This window comes from Homo sapiens, chromosome 9 (assembly GCF_000001405.40).
Source record: "Homo sapiens chromosome 9, GRCh38.p14 Primary Assembly".
Lineage (NCBI taxonomy): Eukaryota > Metazoa > Chordata > Mammalia > Primates > Hominidae > Homo > Homo sapiens.
In genome coordinates this window covers 136425183-136440079 of record NC_000009.12, presented here as the reverse complement: position 1 = coordinate 136440079, position 14897 = coordinate 136425183, and the positions used below count along the sequence as shown (strand labels likewise).

Genomic DNA, 14897 nt, shown 5'->3' with positions numbered 1-14897 from the left:
GTTTGCTGGAAGCGAGTGAGTGCAGGTGTCCGCAGGCCTCGGCGCTGTCCTGGACCGCACCCAGGTCCTCTCCGGGGACCTGCACCTGCCTCGCTGGGACCTGCCGGACTGCGGGGCTGCCGGGTTGGGAGGGGCGTGGGAGACCCGTCCGGGTCCGGTGCGGCGCAGTCCTCCGGCCGCCAGGGGCCGCTGTGGGCGGGGCCGGGGCGCGGGGCGGGGACCGGGCGCGGCCCCGCGGCGGCGGTTGCTGGGTCCCGGCCGGGCTGACTCCGCTTCTGGGCGGCCGGGCCTCCGCGAGTACCGGGTCGACTTCGGAGTCTGCGAGCCCAGCCAGGGGTGCCCGCTTCCCACCCCTCTCCCCGAGCGGCGTCCCCGTCGGGGTCGAACCTCCCCCGCGACAGGCGCCCAGCCGCCTGTTCCCCCAGGCCTTGCCTGCGGACCGCCCTGGGAACGGCGTCTGGGAGCCCCGAGGGGCTGGCGGGACTCGGGGCCCGGGCCATGCGGCAGCCGCCCCCGCCCCTCCGCGACCATCCCCGGCCCAAGCGGGAGCCGCAGCGGCGTTTCTGCTCCTCGCTGCGCCGGCGACCCCGGACCCGGCACCCGTGACCCCTCGCGCTGCCTGCGGCCTCGCGCCGAGGCCTGCCCCGGGAGAGACCGTCCATGCCGTCCAAGGCGGAGAATCTGCGGCCCTCCGAGCCGGCCCCGCAGCCGCCGGAAGGGAGGACGCTCCAAGGACAGCTTCCCGGCGCTCCGCCGGCCCAGCGCGCGGGGTCCCCACCCGATGCTCCGGGCTCCGAGAGCCCCGCGCTTGCCTGCAGCACTCCGGCCACGCCCAGCGGCGAGGACCCGCCAGCCCGAGCAGCACCCATCGCCCCGCGGCCCCCCGCCAGGCCTCGACTGGAGCGAGCCCTGTCCCTGGACGACAAGGGCTGGAGGAGGAGGCGTTTTCGAGGCAGCCAGGAGGACCTGGAAGCCCGGAATGGGACCAGTCCCTCCAGGGGCTCAGTGCAGAGCGAGGGCCCCGGGGCCCCCGCCCACAGCTGCTCCCCGCCCTGCCTGAGCACCTCCTTGCAGGAAATCCCCAAGTCCCGCGGGGTCCTGAGCAGTGAGAGAGGGAGCCCGTCCTCGGGGGGTAACCCTCTCTCTGGGGTGGCCAGCAGCTCCCCGAACCTCCCGCACAGAGACGCCGCCGTGGCGGGGAGCTCGCCCAGGCTGCCCAGCCTGCTGCCCCCGCGCCCACCGCCTGCCCTGAGCCTGGACATCGCCTCCGACTCCCTGAGGACAGCAAACAAGGTCGACTCGGATCTTGCAGACTACAAGCTCCGCGCGCAGCCGCTCCTGGTGCGGGCCCACAGCAGCCTGGGCCCCGGCCGGCCGCGGAGCCCCCTGGCCTGCGACGACTGTTCCCTTCGCTCGGCCAAATCCTCCTTCAGCCTCCTGGCGCCCATCCGCAGCAAGGACGTCCGCAGCAGGTAGGGAGGGCCTGGCGGGTGCAGCGCCCGCGCCGCCTTCGTTGTAGTGTTCAGGCTGCTGGAACCTCGTGAGACCGTTCCCATCAGCAGCGTTTAAGATGCCTAACCGGAAAGAACGAAGCGGGTCTCCCGCAGCCACCCCATCTCCCAGCCCCACCCCACAGCAGCGCCCTTCCCAGAACTTTTCCTGTGCGTTTCAGAACCATTCGTGGGCGTGACGTTGTGTTAAGGTAGACAGGATGGCATCCTGCATACAATTACGTATCTGGCGCTTTTTCTTGTTTAGTCTTGGGAAATGTCGTCAATGTATACGATCCGCCCCTTTGGTTGTTTTTGTTTGTTACTCTCTCTGTCGCCCAGGCTGGAGTGCAGCGGCGCGATCCCGGCTCACTGCAACCTCTGCCTCCTGGGTTCAAGGGATCCTCCTGCCGCAGCCTCCTGAGAATCTGGGATTACAGGCGCCCGCCACCACACCCAGCTAAATTTTGTATTTTTAGTAGGGGCGGGGTTTCGCCGTGTTGGCGAGGCTGGTCTCGAACTCCTGGCCTCGGCCTCCCAAAGTGCTGGGATTCCCGGCGTGGGCCACTGCGCCCGGCCTGCCCCCTTTGTTTTTTTCTGCGGCAAGAGGCCCCAGATGTGTTGAGGCTACTTTCGTTTAGCCACTTGCTCATGAGGAACATTTTGGTGGGCTCCAGCTGTTGCTGGAAGGAACTGCAGCTGAACCCATGACCTCTCCCAAGCCTGGTCTTGTCTTGGGGTCTCAGTCTGGGGGCCTGTCCTGAGATGCTCCCACTATGACTTGGCAGAGTCACCTGCACCCTTCTTTTCCTCCCCCCACCCCACTGCCATGGTGCCCAAGTCTTGTCTGTCAGCCGCGGCGGGAGGCAGGACAGGTGTGAGAAGGGAGAGGTGTGAGGTGGTTTCTGTGTTGGTGTCCTGGGGCCGTTGTAACTCATGACCACAGACTGGGAGGCTTGCAACAGCAGAGCTGGACTCTCTCCCAGTTCTAGAGGCCAGAAGTCTAAAATCAAGGTGTGGCCACGCAGCCTCTCTCCAGAGGCTCAGGGGAGGGTCCTCCCGCTGCCTCCCGCTCCTGGGGCCCCACTTGTTCCTTGGCTTGTGGCCGCATGCTCCAGTCTCTGCCTCTGTCTTTATGTGGCCTCTTCCCTGTCTCTCTGTGTTCCCCTCTCTTTTTATAAGGACACCAGTCATTGAATTTACTGCCTACCCTAAATCCAGGGTGGTCTTATCTCGAGATCCTTAATTAAACACGTTTGCAAAGACCCCGTTTCCGAATAAGGTCCCATTCCAAGGTTCTGGGGCTCTGGGAGTGGACATGGCTTTGGGGATCACTGTTCAGCTCACCACAGTCCCCGAAGGTAGCCTCACTTCCCCGCGTCTGTGGTGCACCAGCAGGCAGGTGGGCTCAGGCCTGGAGTGAGGGCCCGTGCCTGGCGCCCCCACCATACTCTCCTCCTGTCATGGATGGAGCAGGTGCGATCACATCCAGGGCAAGACTGCTGCTTTTGTTAAAATAATTCACTGCAGGGCTTCTCGTAAAGAGTGAGATTTCTTAGTGCATCTAAAGCATCACATTTTAAAATTAGATCCGGTTGACGTAGATACACCTGTTAGAGAAAAGGACAGTCGTGTCTCAAATTTGGACCCTCAAGTCATTGTTTTCAAACAACCAGGAAACGAGGGTTGACGTGGATCCTTTAACCCAGTTCTGCTGCCTAACAGCTTCCCATTTCCAGACCTCCGGTCTGTTCTAGAATAGGAGTCGGCGCACTCTTTCTGTCAAGGGGGAGACACAGACAGTGGGGACCAAAGGGCGTCTGTGTGCCAGTGAGTCTATTAGGGACATACATTGGAACCTCGCTCTTTTTTCTTTCTCTGCCGTTCCACACAGTAAAACCCATTCTGAGTTTGCGGGCCGCGTGTGCACGGGCTGGGTCCGCCCTGTTTGAGAATGGCTGCTGGCTTTTGCCAGTGCCTTGGGGCTGCCAGGGCGGGTTAGGGGGCCTTTCCCCACCCGTTCCTTTTGCTCGGAGAGCTGGCCCAGGCTGTGGCAGCCAGCCTGAGCGTCCTCATGCAGAAGCTGTGCAGTGTCCTGGCCCTGGATGGGGGTCCGAGGCAGCTCTGCCCCTGCCCGTGTCTAGACACAGGAATGGCTGTGAGGGCCGCCCCTGGCCTGCTGTTACTAACCATGCTCTGGACAGAGCTGGGCAGACTGACCACGTGGCTGCTGGTGTGGACATGATGGGCGCTGCCGGCAAAGGGGCCGTGGGCCTCCAGCCTGGTGACCGAGGAGCCCCTGCTGGGCCCGGGATCACTTGACAGGGGTGCCCACAGGAACGCTCTCTGTCCCGAATGACCACTGTGTGAACACAGCTGTCCCGACCGGGATTGTCGACAGTTTTAGGGGTGAGGTAGCGAGGTTCCTCCCTGCTGACATGATTTAACGTGTCCAGTGAAGCTTGGTGAGCCGCAGCCAGGGTTGAAGAAGTTCTCGCGGGAGGTCACAGGAATCCGGCACTATGCTCTCGTGTCCCCTTGCGGAAGGGAACCATGTCAGAAGACGGCGTATCCAGAAGGAGCCGCACAAGTGTTACTTAGAGAGGGAGCGGGGAGGACGGCTGGCAAGCCTAGCCCACGGCGTTTCTGTATAGTCGGCGAGCTGAGAACGGGTTTTACATTTCCAAATGGTTGGAAAAAGTCAAAACCATTCTAATGATGTTTCATAGTACAAGAAAATTGTAAAATTCAGATTTCAGTGTCTGTAAATCAAGCGTCTCGGGCACACGGCTGCACCCCTTGTGTCCACATCCCCTGGTGGCTCTTGCACCACCGTAGCAGAGCCCACGGCGACAGACACTGGATGTCCCACGGAGCGGCAGGCGTGTGCGGTTGCCTCTTGACGGGTTACCAGCCCTCGTGGCAGAAGGTGCTGAGTGTGGGGAGGGGCAGGGACGTTGCTGTGCCACACGGTGTTTAACCATCTGTGTGCACCGCCGTATTAAAATCTGAAAGCATCAGCCTGGACAACGTGGCGAGACCCTGTTTCTACAAAAATAAAAAATAAATAAATAACTAGCCGGGCGTGGTGGCACTGCACCTGGAGTCCCAGCTACTCGGGAGGCTGAGGCAGGAGGATCACTTGAGCCCGGGAGGTAGAGGCTGCAGGGAGCTGTGTTAGTGCCACTGCACTCCAGCCTGGGCACGGAGTGAGACCCTGTCCCCACTAGAAACCAAAACAAGCAAACCCAAAAGTGCGTCAAAGCCACGGGGTGTCGAGGAGATGGACGCGTTTCCGTGTGGCTCGTGTGGTCTCTGTATCTTAGACCGTCCTGCCTGGTGCTGGGGCCAAAGGAGAAAGGAGGAGGACCAGCCCCTCCCCGAACAGCACCCTGTGCCCACTGCCTTGGCTTATAGTTTGGGAGCTCCTCTCTGTGGCTTTTCCAGGATCCCACCACCAAAAAGCCCAAACCGTCACCCTCTCATGCCTCTTCCCGGGAGGTAGGGAGGGGGTGTGAACCCGCTCTGGGTGTTTGTGCAACCAGGTCAGGCCTTGTGTTCCTGGAGAGCAGACAGCAGTGCCGCGGGGGCCAGGAGAGTCCTTGCTTGGGGCTGGGGGCAGCTCCTGACATTCCATGGGTTTTGCTATTGTCCCTGGGGACCTGGCCCAGACCCCCAGGGATGTGTCCTGTGCCTGGCCCTGAGCTTGGGGTCCTCCCGTCACAGGAGTTACCTGGAGGGCAGCCTCCTGGCCAGCGGGGCCCTGTTGGGGGCGGATGAGCTGGCCCGCTACTTCCCAGACCGGAACGTGGCACTCTTCGTGGCCACCTGGAACATGCAGGGCCAGAAGGTGAGTGGCTGTGGGTGGTGCTGGGCGGGGAAGGGTGGGGTGGTGCTGGACAAAGGCGGGTGAGGGGGACGGGGCAGCTCTGTGCCTCATCCTGGGGCCAGGAGGGCAGAGCCCCGAGGTGCACCCCACTGCTAACCGCAGTACAGGAGGGTGAGAGTGGGTAAGGACCCCCATCCCCCAGAGCTCCCACCTGCACCTCCCTGGCCACGTGGCTGCAGAAAGTAGGGGAGGGGGTTGGGGCAACGGGCCTGGCCGAGAATCACCTGCTCAAGGTGAGCGGGAGGGCGGCCAGCGGGGCACGCGTAGGGGTGGCTCAGGGACAGGGTGGGCAGCACGGGCTGGGGTCATGGTGACGGGAGGGTCATACAGGGGTGGTCGTTGGACAGACTCGTGCTTGGAGAGGGAAACAGGCCGAGGGCCAACGTGAGGCGTGTTTGGTGTGTCAGAGGCTGCCTCGGAGACCGGGCAGCTCCCTTTTTGGCCCTGGCCTCAGTTTCCCCTCATTCGGAGGAGTCGCTGGTACTCAAGGCACCGCAGTGGGATTCACCCACAGGCGCCTGCAGGTTTCGGGAGGAGCCGGCCCACCACATGCTCCCTCCTTCCAGGAGCTCCCGCCCAGCCTGGACGAGTTCCTGCTCCCAGCCGAGGCCGACTATGCCCAGGACCTGTATGTCATCGGGGTCCAGGAGGGCTGTTCTGACAGGTAGGGCGGCTGCAGGCCCTGCAGTGCCTGCCCAGGGGCTGCCGTCTCTGAAGCAGCTGGGTGCTGAGACCTGTGGTCATGGCTGGGCACGGGTCTGCAGTGCCTGCCCGGGGGCTGCCATCTGTGAAGCTGCTGGGCGCTGATACCCGGTTCGTGGCCGGGCACAGATCTGCAGTGCCTGCCCGGGGGCTGCCGTCTCTGAAGCTGCTGGGCGCTGAGACCCGGGTGGCGGCCGGGCACGGGCAGCCTCCACGCCTGGGTGGGAGGCATGGGTCAGATTTTTTTCCAGTGGCAACTCGGAGAGTTTAAAATCAATGAGATTTGATTTTGGTAACAAACTGTTGGCGTGCGAGAGTAGAAGGGCAGCCGGAGCAGGGCCGGGCCCCAAGGCCTCCCGGGCCCCCATGTCATGGCGGGAACAGCAGGTGGCTGCCGCCCACACAGGTGCTCTGGGGGAAGGAGTTGAGGTGGGCCCCACCTCCCTGGCCCATGAGTCCCTCAGGCGGGAGGAGCTCTGCTCACTGGGGTCTCGGCGGGGGTCCAGGGGAGCCACTCAAGTGGAACTGGGGCCTGTGGCCCCCGGCAGGTCCCAACTCTGGCCCACCAGGCCTTCTGGCAATTGCTTCTCCGCGCAAGACACCAAGGCCAGGTCGTGGGGTTTCCCTGGTAGCTCCTCGAGGGGCTCTGGGCAGCAGGTCTGGGGGTGGCGGAGCTGGGAGGCCATGTCCCCCAGCCGGCCGTGCTTCCTCCTCTGCAGGCGGGAGTGGGAGACTCGTCTGCAGGAGACGCTGGGCCCGCACTATGTGCTGCTGTCCTCGGCGGCCCACGGCGTGCTCTACATGTCGCTCTTCATCCGCAGGGACCTCATCTGGTTCTGCTCAGGTGGGCGCGGCTGGAGGGGTGGGCGCGGCTGGAAGGTGGCAGCGTCCCACAGGTGAGCTGAGGGCTGCCCCTCCCACAGAGGTGGAGTGCTCCACGGTGACCACACGCATCGTGTCTCAGATCAAGACCAAGGGGGCCTTGGGCATCAGCTTCACCTTTTTTGGCACTTCCTTCCTCTTCATCACGTCCCACTTCACCTGTAAGTTGCTTGGTGCCCGCACCGCAGGTGCTGTGTGAGAACAGCTTCCTCTCCTGACCGGGACCCTGTCCAAGGCAGGGGTCCTGACCGCTGGCTTCATCTTCCACCCAGGGCCGTGGGGTGGGCACCACGCTTGCTAAGATGCACGCCAAGGACCCCCGGCAGACCCCGGCACCGAGGGCGTGCCGTGCTGGGCCCGTGCTCTGTCCTCCGAGGCGGAAATGTCACTGGCTGGGCCCGGCAGCGGATGCCCGGTGGGGTTGCGTCTGCCGGGGGTGCGCAGTCAGGGCACAGTCCAGAGGTGCGGCGCTTTAGGGAGACTCGAGCATCCGGAACCCTGTGGTCCCTACCCCATTTCTGTTCCCACAGCAGGTGACGGGAAGGTGGCGGAGCGGCTGCTGGACTACACCAGGACTGTACAAGCCCTGGTCCTGCCCAGAAATGTGCCCGACACCAACCCCTATCGCTCCAGCGCAGGTGAGGGCGTCCACGCTGCGTGTGGGTGGTGCCGCCGTGGTTCGCACACGGGCGCCCGTCGTTTTTAGGGCAGTTCTGAAGAGGCAGCGTCCTGAGCTTTGGGAAGCGAGGGCCGAAACGTCCAGTGCCCCCAGCGCATGGCCCCTCGCGGTTCTTTAGCACGGTTAGTGGGGTGGGCGGATCCTGTCCACTCGGCGTGGCCCACTAGCCTGGGTCCTGGTCCTCGCCACTGCCCGCCCCGCCGCCTCCCCTGGCTGTGTGGAGAGGAGCAGGGACGTGGCCATCGCCTGCCATGGGCATCGTCTGCTCCTGAGGCTGCTCCAGGTGCCTTCTGGAACTGTCCCAGTGCGAATCCCACCCCTGAGGGCCCGGCCCCACCGGCTGGCGCCCAAGACCCACTTCCCCTGAGAGCCACTCCCAGGCCATGTTCTGGGGAAGGGGAAGGACCTGCCGTCCCTCTGCCTGTGCCCACACATGGCCCACTGTGCCGCAGCGGACGTCACCACCCGCTTCGATGAGGTGTTCTGGTTTGGAGACTTCAACTTCCGCCTGAGTGGCGGGCGCACAGTCGTGGACGCCCTCCTGTGCCAGGGCCTGGTGGTGGACGTGCCGGCGCTGCTGCAGCACGACCAGCTCATCCGGGAGATGCGGAAAGGTGAGGGCCTGGGGGGGCGGGCATGGAGGGAGATGAGGAGAGGTGAGGGCCTGGGGGGGCGGGCGTGGAGGGAGATGAGGAGAGGTGAGGGCCTGGGGGGCGGGCGTGGAGGGAGATGAGGAAAGGTGAGGGCCTGGGGGGCGGGCGTGGAGGGAGATGAGGAGAGGTGAGGGCCTGGGGGGGCGGGCGTGGAGGGAGATGAGGAGAGGTGAGGGCCTGGGGGGGCGGGCGTGGAGGGAGATGAGGAAAGGTGAGGGCCTGGGGGGGCGGGCGTGGCGGGAGATGAGGAAAGGTGAGGGCCTGGGGGGGCGGGCGTGGAGGGAGATGAGGAAAGGTGAGGGCCTGGGGGGCGGGCGTGGAGGGAGATGAGGAGAGGTGAGGGCCTGGGGGGGCGGGCGTGGAGGGAGATGAGGAGAGGTGAGGGCCTGGGGGGGCGGGCGTGGAGGGAGATGAGGAGAGGTGAGGGCCTGGGGGGCGGGCGTGGAGGGAGATGAGGAGAGGTGAGGGCCTGGGGGGCGGGCGTGGAGGGAGATGAGGAGAGGTGAGGGCCTGGGGGGGCGGGCGTGGCGGGAGATGAGGAAAGGTGAGGGCCTGCGGCGGGTGGGGGGAGGGTGGGCGTGGTGGGAGATGAGGAGAGGTGAGGGCCTGGGGTGCGGCGGCTGGCACAAGCTGGTCTGAGCCAGTCCGAGTGCCCATCCTGTGGCAGGGTCCATCTTCAAGGGCTTCCAGGAGCCGGACATCCACTTCCTCCCATCATACAAGTTTGACATCGGGAAGGACACGTACGACAGCACCTCCAAGCAGAGGACGCCCTCATACACGGTGAGGCCTGCCCACCGCTGCGGTGCAGAGTGCTTCCAGGGCAGGCATCTCCCACAGCCGGGAACCGATGCCTGGCGTCAGGGGTCTGAGCCTGGACGGCCTGGACTTGAAACTCAGCTCTGCACCTTGGCCTTGTGGCAAGTCCCCTTTGGTGGAGAACGGCGCCCTCTCCATGGGTGTTTTCAAGGCTGGGTGAGCCGGCTGGCACACAGGGCACCAGCCATGCCCTCGCCTCCGGCCTGCAGAGCCTCTGCCCTCTGCCCGTTGCACCCTCGCTCACCCTCCTGCCAGGCCCATGGCTGCATCTCTGGGCATGTCCCGATATCTGGATATCTGCTGGAAGCCTCAAGAAGCCACTGAGGCAGGGCAGGGTAGGAGCAGCCGCTGTCCACAGGGTCTCTCCAGCGGCGAGGGACAGGCCCTGGCCCAGCTGGCCACAGACGCCAGGCAACAAAATGGGCATGAGTGTCAGGGGTCCCAGAAGGCTTCCTTGTGGGGGGCGCTTGAGAACAGCAGGGAGGTGAGCGGGCCACGCCCCACGGCTCCTCACAAGTAACTGGACCTCCTGCCTCTGCAATCTTCCCAAAGGACCGCGTCTTGTACAGAAGCCGCCACAAGGGTGACATCTGTCCTGTGAGCTACTCTTCCTGCCCCGGGATCAAGACGTCCGACCACCGCCCTGTGTATGGCCTCTTCCGGGTGAAAGTGAGGCCGGGGCGAGACAAGTCAGTGTTCTCCCGCTCACCTTCCCCCTTGGGCCTGGGGGTCGTGCCGTCGTCCCATGAGCTAAGAGGGTCCCTGTCATCGTGGGGTTCCACTTGGGGCTTTGTTCTGGGACCTTCAGGGCTGTGTTCCCCGGGATCGGTTGGACTCATCCTGGAGCAGGAGAAGGCAGGAAGGGGAGAGGCTCTGGAAAGTGAAGAGAGGCCCAGCTGGGGGGCTGGGTGTGGCCAGCTGGAGGGACGAAGGCCTTAAGCACTCAGGCATCCGCCCTGTCCTTCCTGCGGCTCTGTCCCAGGAACAGGCCTCCGTGTGCTTAGAGGCAGGGCCAATCTGGGCCAGTGCCCACCTAACAGCCCCTCATCCTGGCCCTGGGTGTCCTCTTAAATGCCCCCTCCTCCGGGGCCGGCCCCCTCCTAACGCCCCCTCCTCCTGGCCCTGGGTGCCCTCCTAACGCCCCCTCCTCCTCCACAGCATTCCGTTGGCAGCTGGCAAATTTGATAGAGAACTGTACTTACTAGGAATTAAAAGACGGATTTCGAAGGAGATTCAGAGGCAGCAAGCACTACAGAGTCAGAACTCCAGCACCATCTGCTCCGTTTCTTGAAGTTTGCTGAACGAGGACTCACAGCTGCAACGTGGGGTGATTGTATTGATCAAAACCCACTGGGAAGGACAAAGAGTTTGCCGCCTTTCGGGGATCCGAGGGACTGTGGCGACCGTGCCTCTGTGCCAGCGTCCCAGGAAGGAAGCCAACCCTGAGCGAGCCTGTCCTCTGTGGCAGGTCCACACGGTGTGGGTGGGCAGGGCTTGGACCCCCGTCTCCATGGCAGGTCCATACAGCATGGGTGGCAGGGTTTGGACCCGCCCAGCAGCACCACGGACCCCAGCCACTCTCGGGGGCAGACGTCAGAATCCGTTCCTGAGCAGCTCCTGTGCCCTGGGGGCAGTCACAGAGCCCCCCAACACCCCCGTGCTCTGCACCAGCCTCTCCCTCCACACCCGAAGCAGGCGTCCATCTGTGTCCTCCTGGCAGCCCCTCAAACACACACCACCCCATGTCACACGGGTATCCAGAGCAAGGCTGGATCTGGGCTAGGTGACCCCTGGGGCCTCAGACCTCTGAGTGGGCCCCAGAGCCCAGCTGAGGAAGCCACACAGCCTCCAGGACGTGGCACGGTTCCCCTCCACTTGGCTGCAAGTCGCCTGCCATGGGGCGAGGAGGCCTGCACCCCAGTATAAGGGCCTCCCCAGCTGAGTAAGAAGCTGCTTCCCCTCCTCTCATAGGCCAAGCCTATTGTGTGAAACCATCTCATGGTCTTGGTGACGTAGACCATTTTTGAAACCGTCTCATGGTCTTGGTGACGTAGACCGTTTGCTTCTTTAACTCCAGCCGCGGAATGACATTAGTGGAACCGGGCTAGGGAACTGCTGGAAGTTCAGGATGCCACCACCTTGAACACCTAGGCCAGGGATCCCCACCATGTCCCGGGTTTCTTTCTTCGAGAGTATAGAACCGTTCATTCTTGCTTTGTGTCCCATTCCATCTCTTGAAAAAATGTAGTCTTTGAATGTGTGAAAATCTAGGGACATTCAATCTAGTCTTTTAAATTATTTTTCCATATTTATATTTTTAAATAAATGCATATATTGAGTCTTAAAATCTCTTTCTGGCCAAAGACTGAAACCTGGAAGCAACAATATACATGCATATCCCGTTCTCACAATGTCCTTGTTTGAAAGGCTGTAAAATCCACAGGCAAAAAGTTTGGTCTCAACCCTCAACAGCTGACTATGATCTTGTCCGGTTCATCTCTGCTATCTTTAAAATCCTACATTCGGCTGGGTGCGGTGGCTCACTCCTATAATCCCAGCACTTTGGGAGGCTGAGGCAGATGGATCATCTGAGTGGTGGGCAAATCACAAGGTCAGGAGTTCGAGACCAGCCTGGCCAACATGGTGCGACCACCCCTGCATCTCTACTAAAATTACAAAAATTAGCCGGGTGTGGTGGCGGGCGCCTGTAATCCCAGCTACTGGGGAGGCTGAGGCAGGAGAATCACTTGAACCCAGGAGGCAAAGGTTGCAGTGAGCCGAGATTGCGCCACTGCACTCCAGCCTGGGCAGCAGAGCAAGACTCCATCTCAAAATAAATAAATACATAAAATCCTGCATTCCTAGTTCACTGCCCAAGAGATCAGCGTTAGATGGAAAAGAGTCTTTTGAGGAAAACACAAATACTTGAGACCTGATGAACCACGCTGGTTATCAACAATTCAGTGAATAATAGAAAACTTTTATTAGCAGCATCTTAAAAAGTAGGGAAACAAACACCCAGTCTCTTGATAAAAATGAGTCTCTTGGGCCAGGCGTGGTGGCTCATGCTTGTAATCCCAGCACTTTCGGAGGCCCAGGTGGGCAGATCACAAGGTCAGGAGTTCAAGACCAGCCTGGCCAAATGGTGAGACCACGCCCCCCCCCCCCCATCTCTACTAAAAATACAAAAATTAGCCGGGTGTCTGTTGTCCCAGCTACTTGGGAGGCTGAGGCAGGAGAATTGCTTGAACCTGGGAGGCGGAGGTTGTAGTGAGCCAAGATCCAAGATCGTGCCACTGCATCCCAGCCTGGGCGACAGAGCGAGACTCCTTAAAAAAAAAAAAAAAAAAAAAGTCGTCGATAGAAATTCCATTAATGAGAGGGCACAGCCAATCTCATCTAATTTCAGTCAACTAGTCTGATGTCCTGTATGTATAACATTTTGGGCTGGGTGTGGCGTGTGTAACATTTTGGGCTGGGTGTAATTCTAGCACTTTGAGAGGCTGAGGAGGGCAGATTGCCTGAGCTCAGGAGTTCGAGACCAGCCTGGATAACACAGTGAAACCCTGTCTGTACTAAAACACAAACAATTAGCCGGGTGTGGTGGTGTGCGCCTGTAGTCCCAGCCACTCAGGAGGCTGAGGTAGGAGAATTGCTTGAACCCGGGAGGTGGAGGTTGTAGAGAGCCAAGATTGCACAATTGCACTCCAGCCTGGGCAAGAGTGAGACTCGTCTCCAAAAAAAAAAAGACTTTGCCTGAACAAATGTGCCCTAAGTTTCAAATTAATTCATTGAAAATCTGTACCAAGATGTTTATGGTAATGGGGCTTCAAATGAGTCCGCTTTTATGGCTTCTTCCTAGGCCTCTTCTCCGACCCAAACAATTGTTAAAGAGATTCTGGTCCGACCCTGGAGTGTGTTCACGTGGCTTGACAGTAAGAGGCTCCAAGTCTTCCGGCGGCGGCGGTGGGGAGGGCAGGATATGACGTGTCTAGTAAGATCATGGATCGAAAGTCAGGTGATTCCCTTGGCACTCACCGCTAGATCTTAGATTAATGGAATTTCACTCAGAAAGGAGTTTAAATGAATGCAAATGATGTTGGCCAATCTCTGGAAAATAAAAGAATTGTTAAATACGGCCAGGCACAGTGGCTCACATCTATAATCCCAGCACTTTGGGAAGCTGAGGCAGGAGGACTGCTTGAAGCCAGGAGTTCGAGACCAGCCTGGGCAACCTAGTGAGACCACACCTCTAAAACAGCAATGAGCACGCCTATAGTCCCAGCTATTCAGGAGGCTGAGGTGGGAGGATCCGCTGAGCCCCAGTGGTTAAGGCTACCGTGAGCTGTGCTTGCATCACTGTACTCCAGGGCTAGCCTGGGCGACAGAGCCAGACCTCATCTCAAAAAAAAAAAAAAAAAAGCTGGCTCGATAGTAGTGGGTTCTTAGAACCTAATATTAGTGTCAACTTTGGTATCCTATCCTCCAGTGCTAAATTTGGCAAAAGAAAAAAAAAACGTGGCCAGGTGCGGTGGCTCACGCCTGTAATCCCAGCACTTTGGGAGGCCCAGGTGGGTGGATCACCTGAGGCCTAGGCGGCTGGTCAGGAGTTCACCACCAGCCTGATCAAAATGGTGAAACCCCGTCTCTACTAACAATACAAAAAATTAGCCAGGTGTGGTGGCGGGTGTCTGTAATCCCAGCTACTTGGGAGGCTGAAGCAAGAGAATCTGTTGAACCCAGGAGGCGGACGTTGCAGTGAGCCGAGGTCGTGCCATTGCACTCCAGCCTGGGCAACAAGAATGAAACTCCATCTCAAAAAAATAAAGAAAAGAATCTGTGAAATACGACTGTGTGAGGGTGGTTTCAAAAATACAGCTCTCGGGGCCAGGCACAGTGGCTCACGCCTGTAATCCCAGCACTTTGGGAGGCCGAGGCAGGCGGATCATCTGAAGTTGGGAGTTGGAGACCATCCTGGCTAACATGGTGAAACCTTGTCTCTACTAAAAATACAAAAATTAGCCGGGCGTGGTGGCAGTTGCCTAGAATCCCAGCTATTTGGGAGGCTGAGGCAGGAGAATGGTGTGAACCCCGGAGATGGAGCTTGCAGTGAGCCGAGACTGCACCACTGCACTCCAGCCTGCACGACAGAGCAAGACCCCATCTCAAAAAAAAAAAAAAAAAAATTCAGCTCTCATTCTCTCAAGCATGCTTTGCTTGTCTTTTGTTCAGCAAGTACTTTCCTAGCTCTGCTCCAGGCCAGACGGTCTAGCCACCAGCAGGGACACTGGAATGAGCCAAATAGCCTGCTTGGGGGAGGTGACCATCTTAAAAAGGCAGCCGACTATAAACAAATTCAAGTGCACCTTAGTTCCAAAGAAGTGAAGTGGGGCTGGGCGCAGTGACTCATGCCTGTCATCCCAGCACTTTGGGAGGCCAAGGCGGGTGCATCACCTGAGGTCAGGAGTTTGAGACCAGCCTGACCAACATGGTGAAACCCCGTCTTTACTAAGAATACAAAATGAGCTGGCGTGGTGGCCCATGCCTGTAATCCCAGCTACTCAGGAGGCTGAGGCAGGAGACTCGCTTGAACCCAGGAGGCAGAGGTTGCGGTGAGCCGAGATCGCGCCATTGCACTCCAGCCTGGGCAACAAGAGCGAAACTCCATCTCAAAAAAAGAAAGGGAAAAAAAAAAAAGCGAAGTGGGGAGGAGTGTGGCAGGGAGGGCGGGTGTGCGACCTTTGGTTAGAGAGGAGGCAGCGAGGGAGAGCCAGCTATGTGGC

General features: G+C 60.2%; 1 protein-coding gene across 5 annotated transcripts, besides 9 other annotated features; it reads left to right on the top strand.

The window, feature by feature from the left end:
- Positions 77-276: a silencer, noted in NCBI's record as "silent region_20519". NCBI's record gives its function as "represses an Ori minimal core promoter by ATAC-STARR-seq in GM12878 lymphoblastoid cells {active_cell/tissue: GM12878}" and the evidence as "EXISTENCE:reporter gene assay evidence [ECO:0000049][PMID:35858748]".
- Positions 77-2031: a biological region, named in NCBI's record as "hESC enhancers GRCh37_chr9:139332501-139333134 to GRCh37_chr9:139333770-139334403".
- Positions 129-762: an enhancer, noted in NCBI's record as "H3K27ac hESC enhancer chr9:139333770-139334403 (GRCh37/hg19 assembly coordinates)". NCBI's record gives its function as "activates a minimal SCP1, AML or CMV promoter by ChIP-STARR-seq in naive H9 embryonic stem cells {active_cell/tissue: H9 hESC(naive)}" and the evidence as "EXISTENCE:reporter gene assay evidence [ECO:0000049][PMID:30033119]".
- INPP5E (inositol polyphosphate-5-phosphatase E) lies at positions 235-11461 on the top strand. 5 transcript variants are annotated; one of them, XM_047423603.1, is made up of 10 exons: positions 235-1472; positions 5217-5340; positions 5946-6043; positions 6801-6925; positions 7005-7124; positions 7497-7601; positions 8095-8256; positions 8963-9078; positions 9667-9803; positions 10320-11461. In XM_047423603.1, exons 1-10 carry the CDS (start codon positions 661-663, stop codon positions 10324-10326), a joined length of 1806 nt encoding a protein of 601 aa, XP_047279559.1. In that variant the 5' UTR covers positions 235-660; the 3' UTR covers positions 10327-11461. The 5 variants fall into 5 exon arrangements, 4 of the variants coding, with proteins under 4 accessions (XP_047279559.1, NP_001305431.1, XP_016870415.1 ...); NM_001318502.2 differs by having other exon boundaries at positions 10273-11461; XM_017014926.2 differs by having other exon boundaries at positions 7494-7601.
- Positions 327-506: a silencer, noted in NCBI's record as "silent region_20518". NCBI's record gives its function as "represses an Ori minimal core promoter by ATAC-STARR-seq in GM12878 lymphoblastoid cells {active_cell/tissue: GM12878}" and the evidence as "EXISTENCE:reporter gene assay evidence [ECO:0000049][PMID:35858748]".
- Positions 567-1056: a silencer, noted in NCBI's record as "silent region_20517". NCBI's record gives its function as "represses an Ori minimal core promoter by ATAC-STARR-seq in GM12878 lymphoblastoid cells {active_cell/tissue: GM12878}" and the evidence as "EXISTENCE:reporter gene assay evidence [ECO:0000049][PMID:35858748]".
- Positions 763-1397: an enhancer, noted in NCBI's record as "H3K27ac-H3K4me1 hESC enhancer chr9:139333135-139333769 (GRCh37/hg19 assembly coordinates)". NCBI's record gives its function as "activates a minimal SCP1, AML or CMV promoter by ChIP-STARR-seq in naive H9 embryonic stem cells {active_cell/tissue: H9 hESC(naive)}" and the evidence as "EXISTENCE:reporter gene assay evidence [ECO:0000049][PMID:30033119]".
- Positions 1347-1456: an enhancer, noted in NCBI's record as "active region_29310". NCBI's record gives its function as "activates an Ori minimal core promoter by ATAC-STARR-seq in GM12878 lymphoblastoid cells {active_cell/tissue: GM12878}" and the evidence as "EXISTENCE:reporter gene assay evidence [ECO:0000049][PMID:35858748]".
- Positions 1398-2031: an enhancer, noted in NCBI's record as "H3K4me1 hESC enhancer chr9:139332501-139333134 (GRCh37/hg19 assembly coordinates)". NCBI's record gives its function as "activates a minimal SCP1, AML or CMV promoter by ChIP-STARR-seq in naive H9 embryonic stem cells {active_cell/tissue: H9 hESC(naive)}" and the evidence as "EXISTENCE:reporter gene assay evidence [ECO:0000049][PMID:30033119]".
- Positions 3568-4076: an enhancer, noted in NCBI's record as "H3K4me1 hESC enhancer chr9:139330456-139330964 (GRCh37/hg19 assembly coordinates)". NCBI's record gives its function as "activates a minimal SCP1, AML or CMV promoter by ChIP-STARR-seq in naive H9 embryonic stem cells {active_cell/tissue: H9 hESC(naive)}" and the evidence as "EXISTENCE:reporter gene assay evidence [ECO:0000049][PMID:30033119]".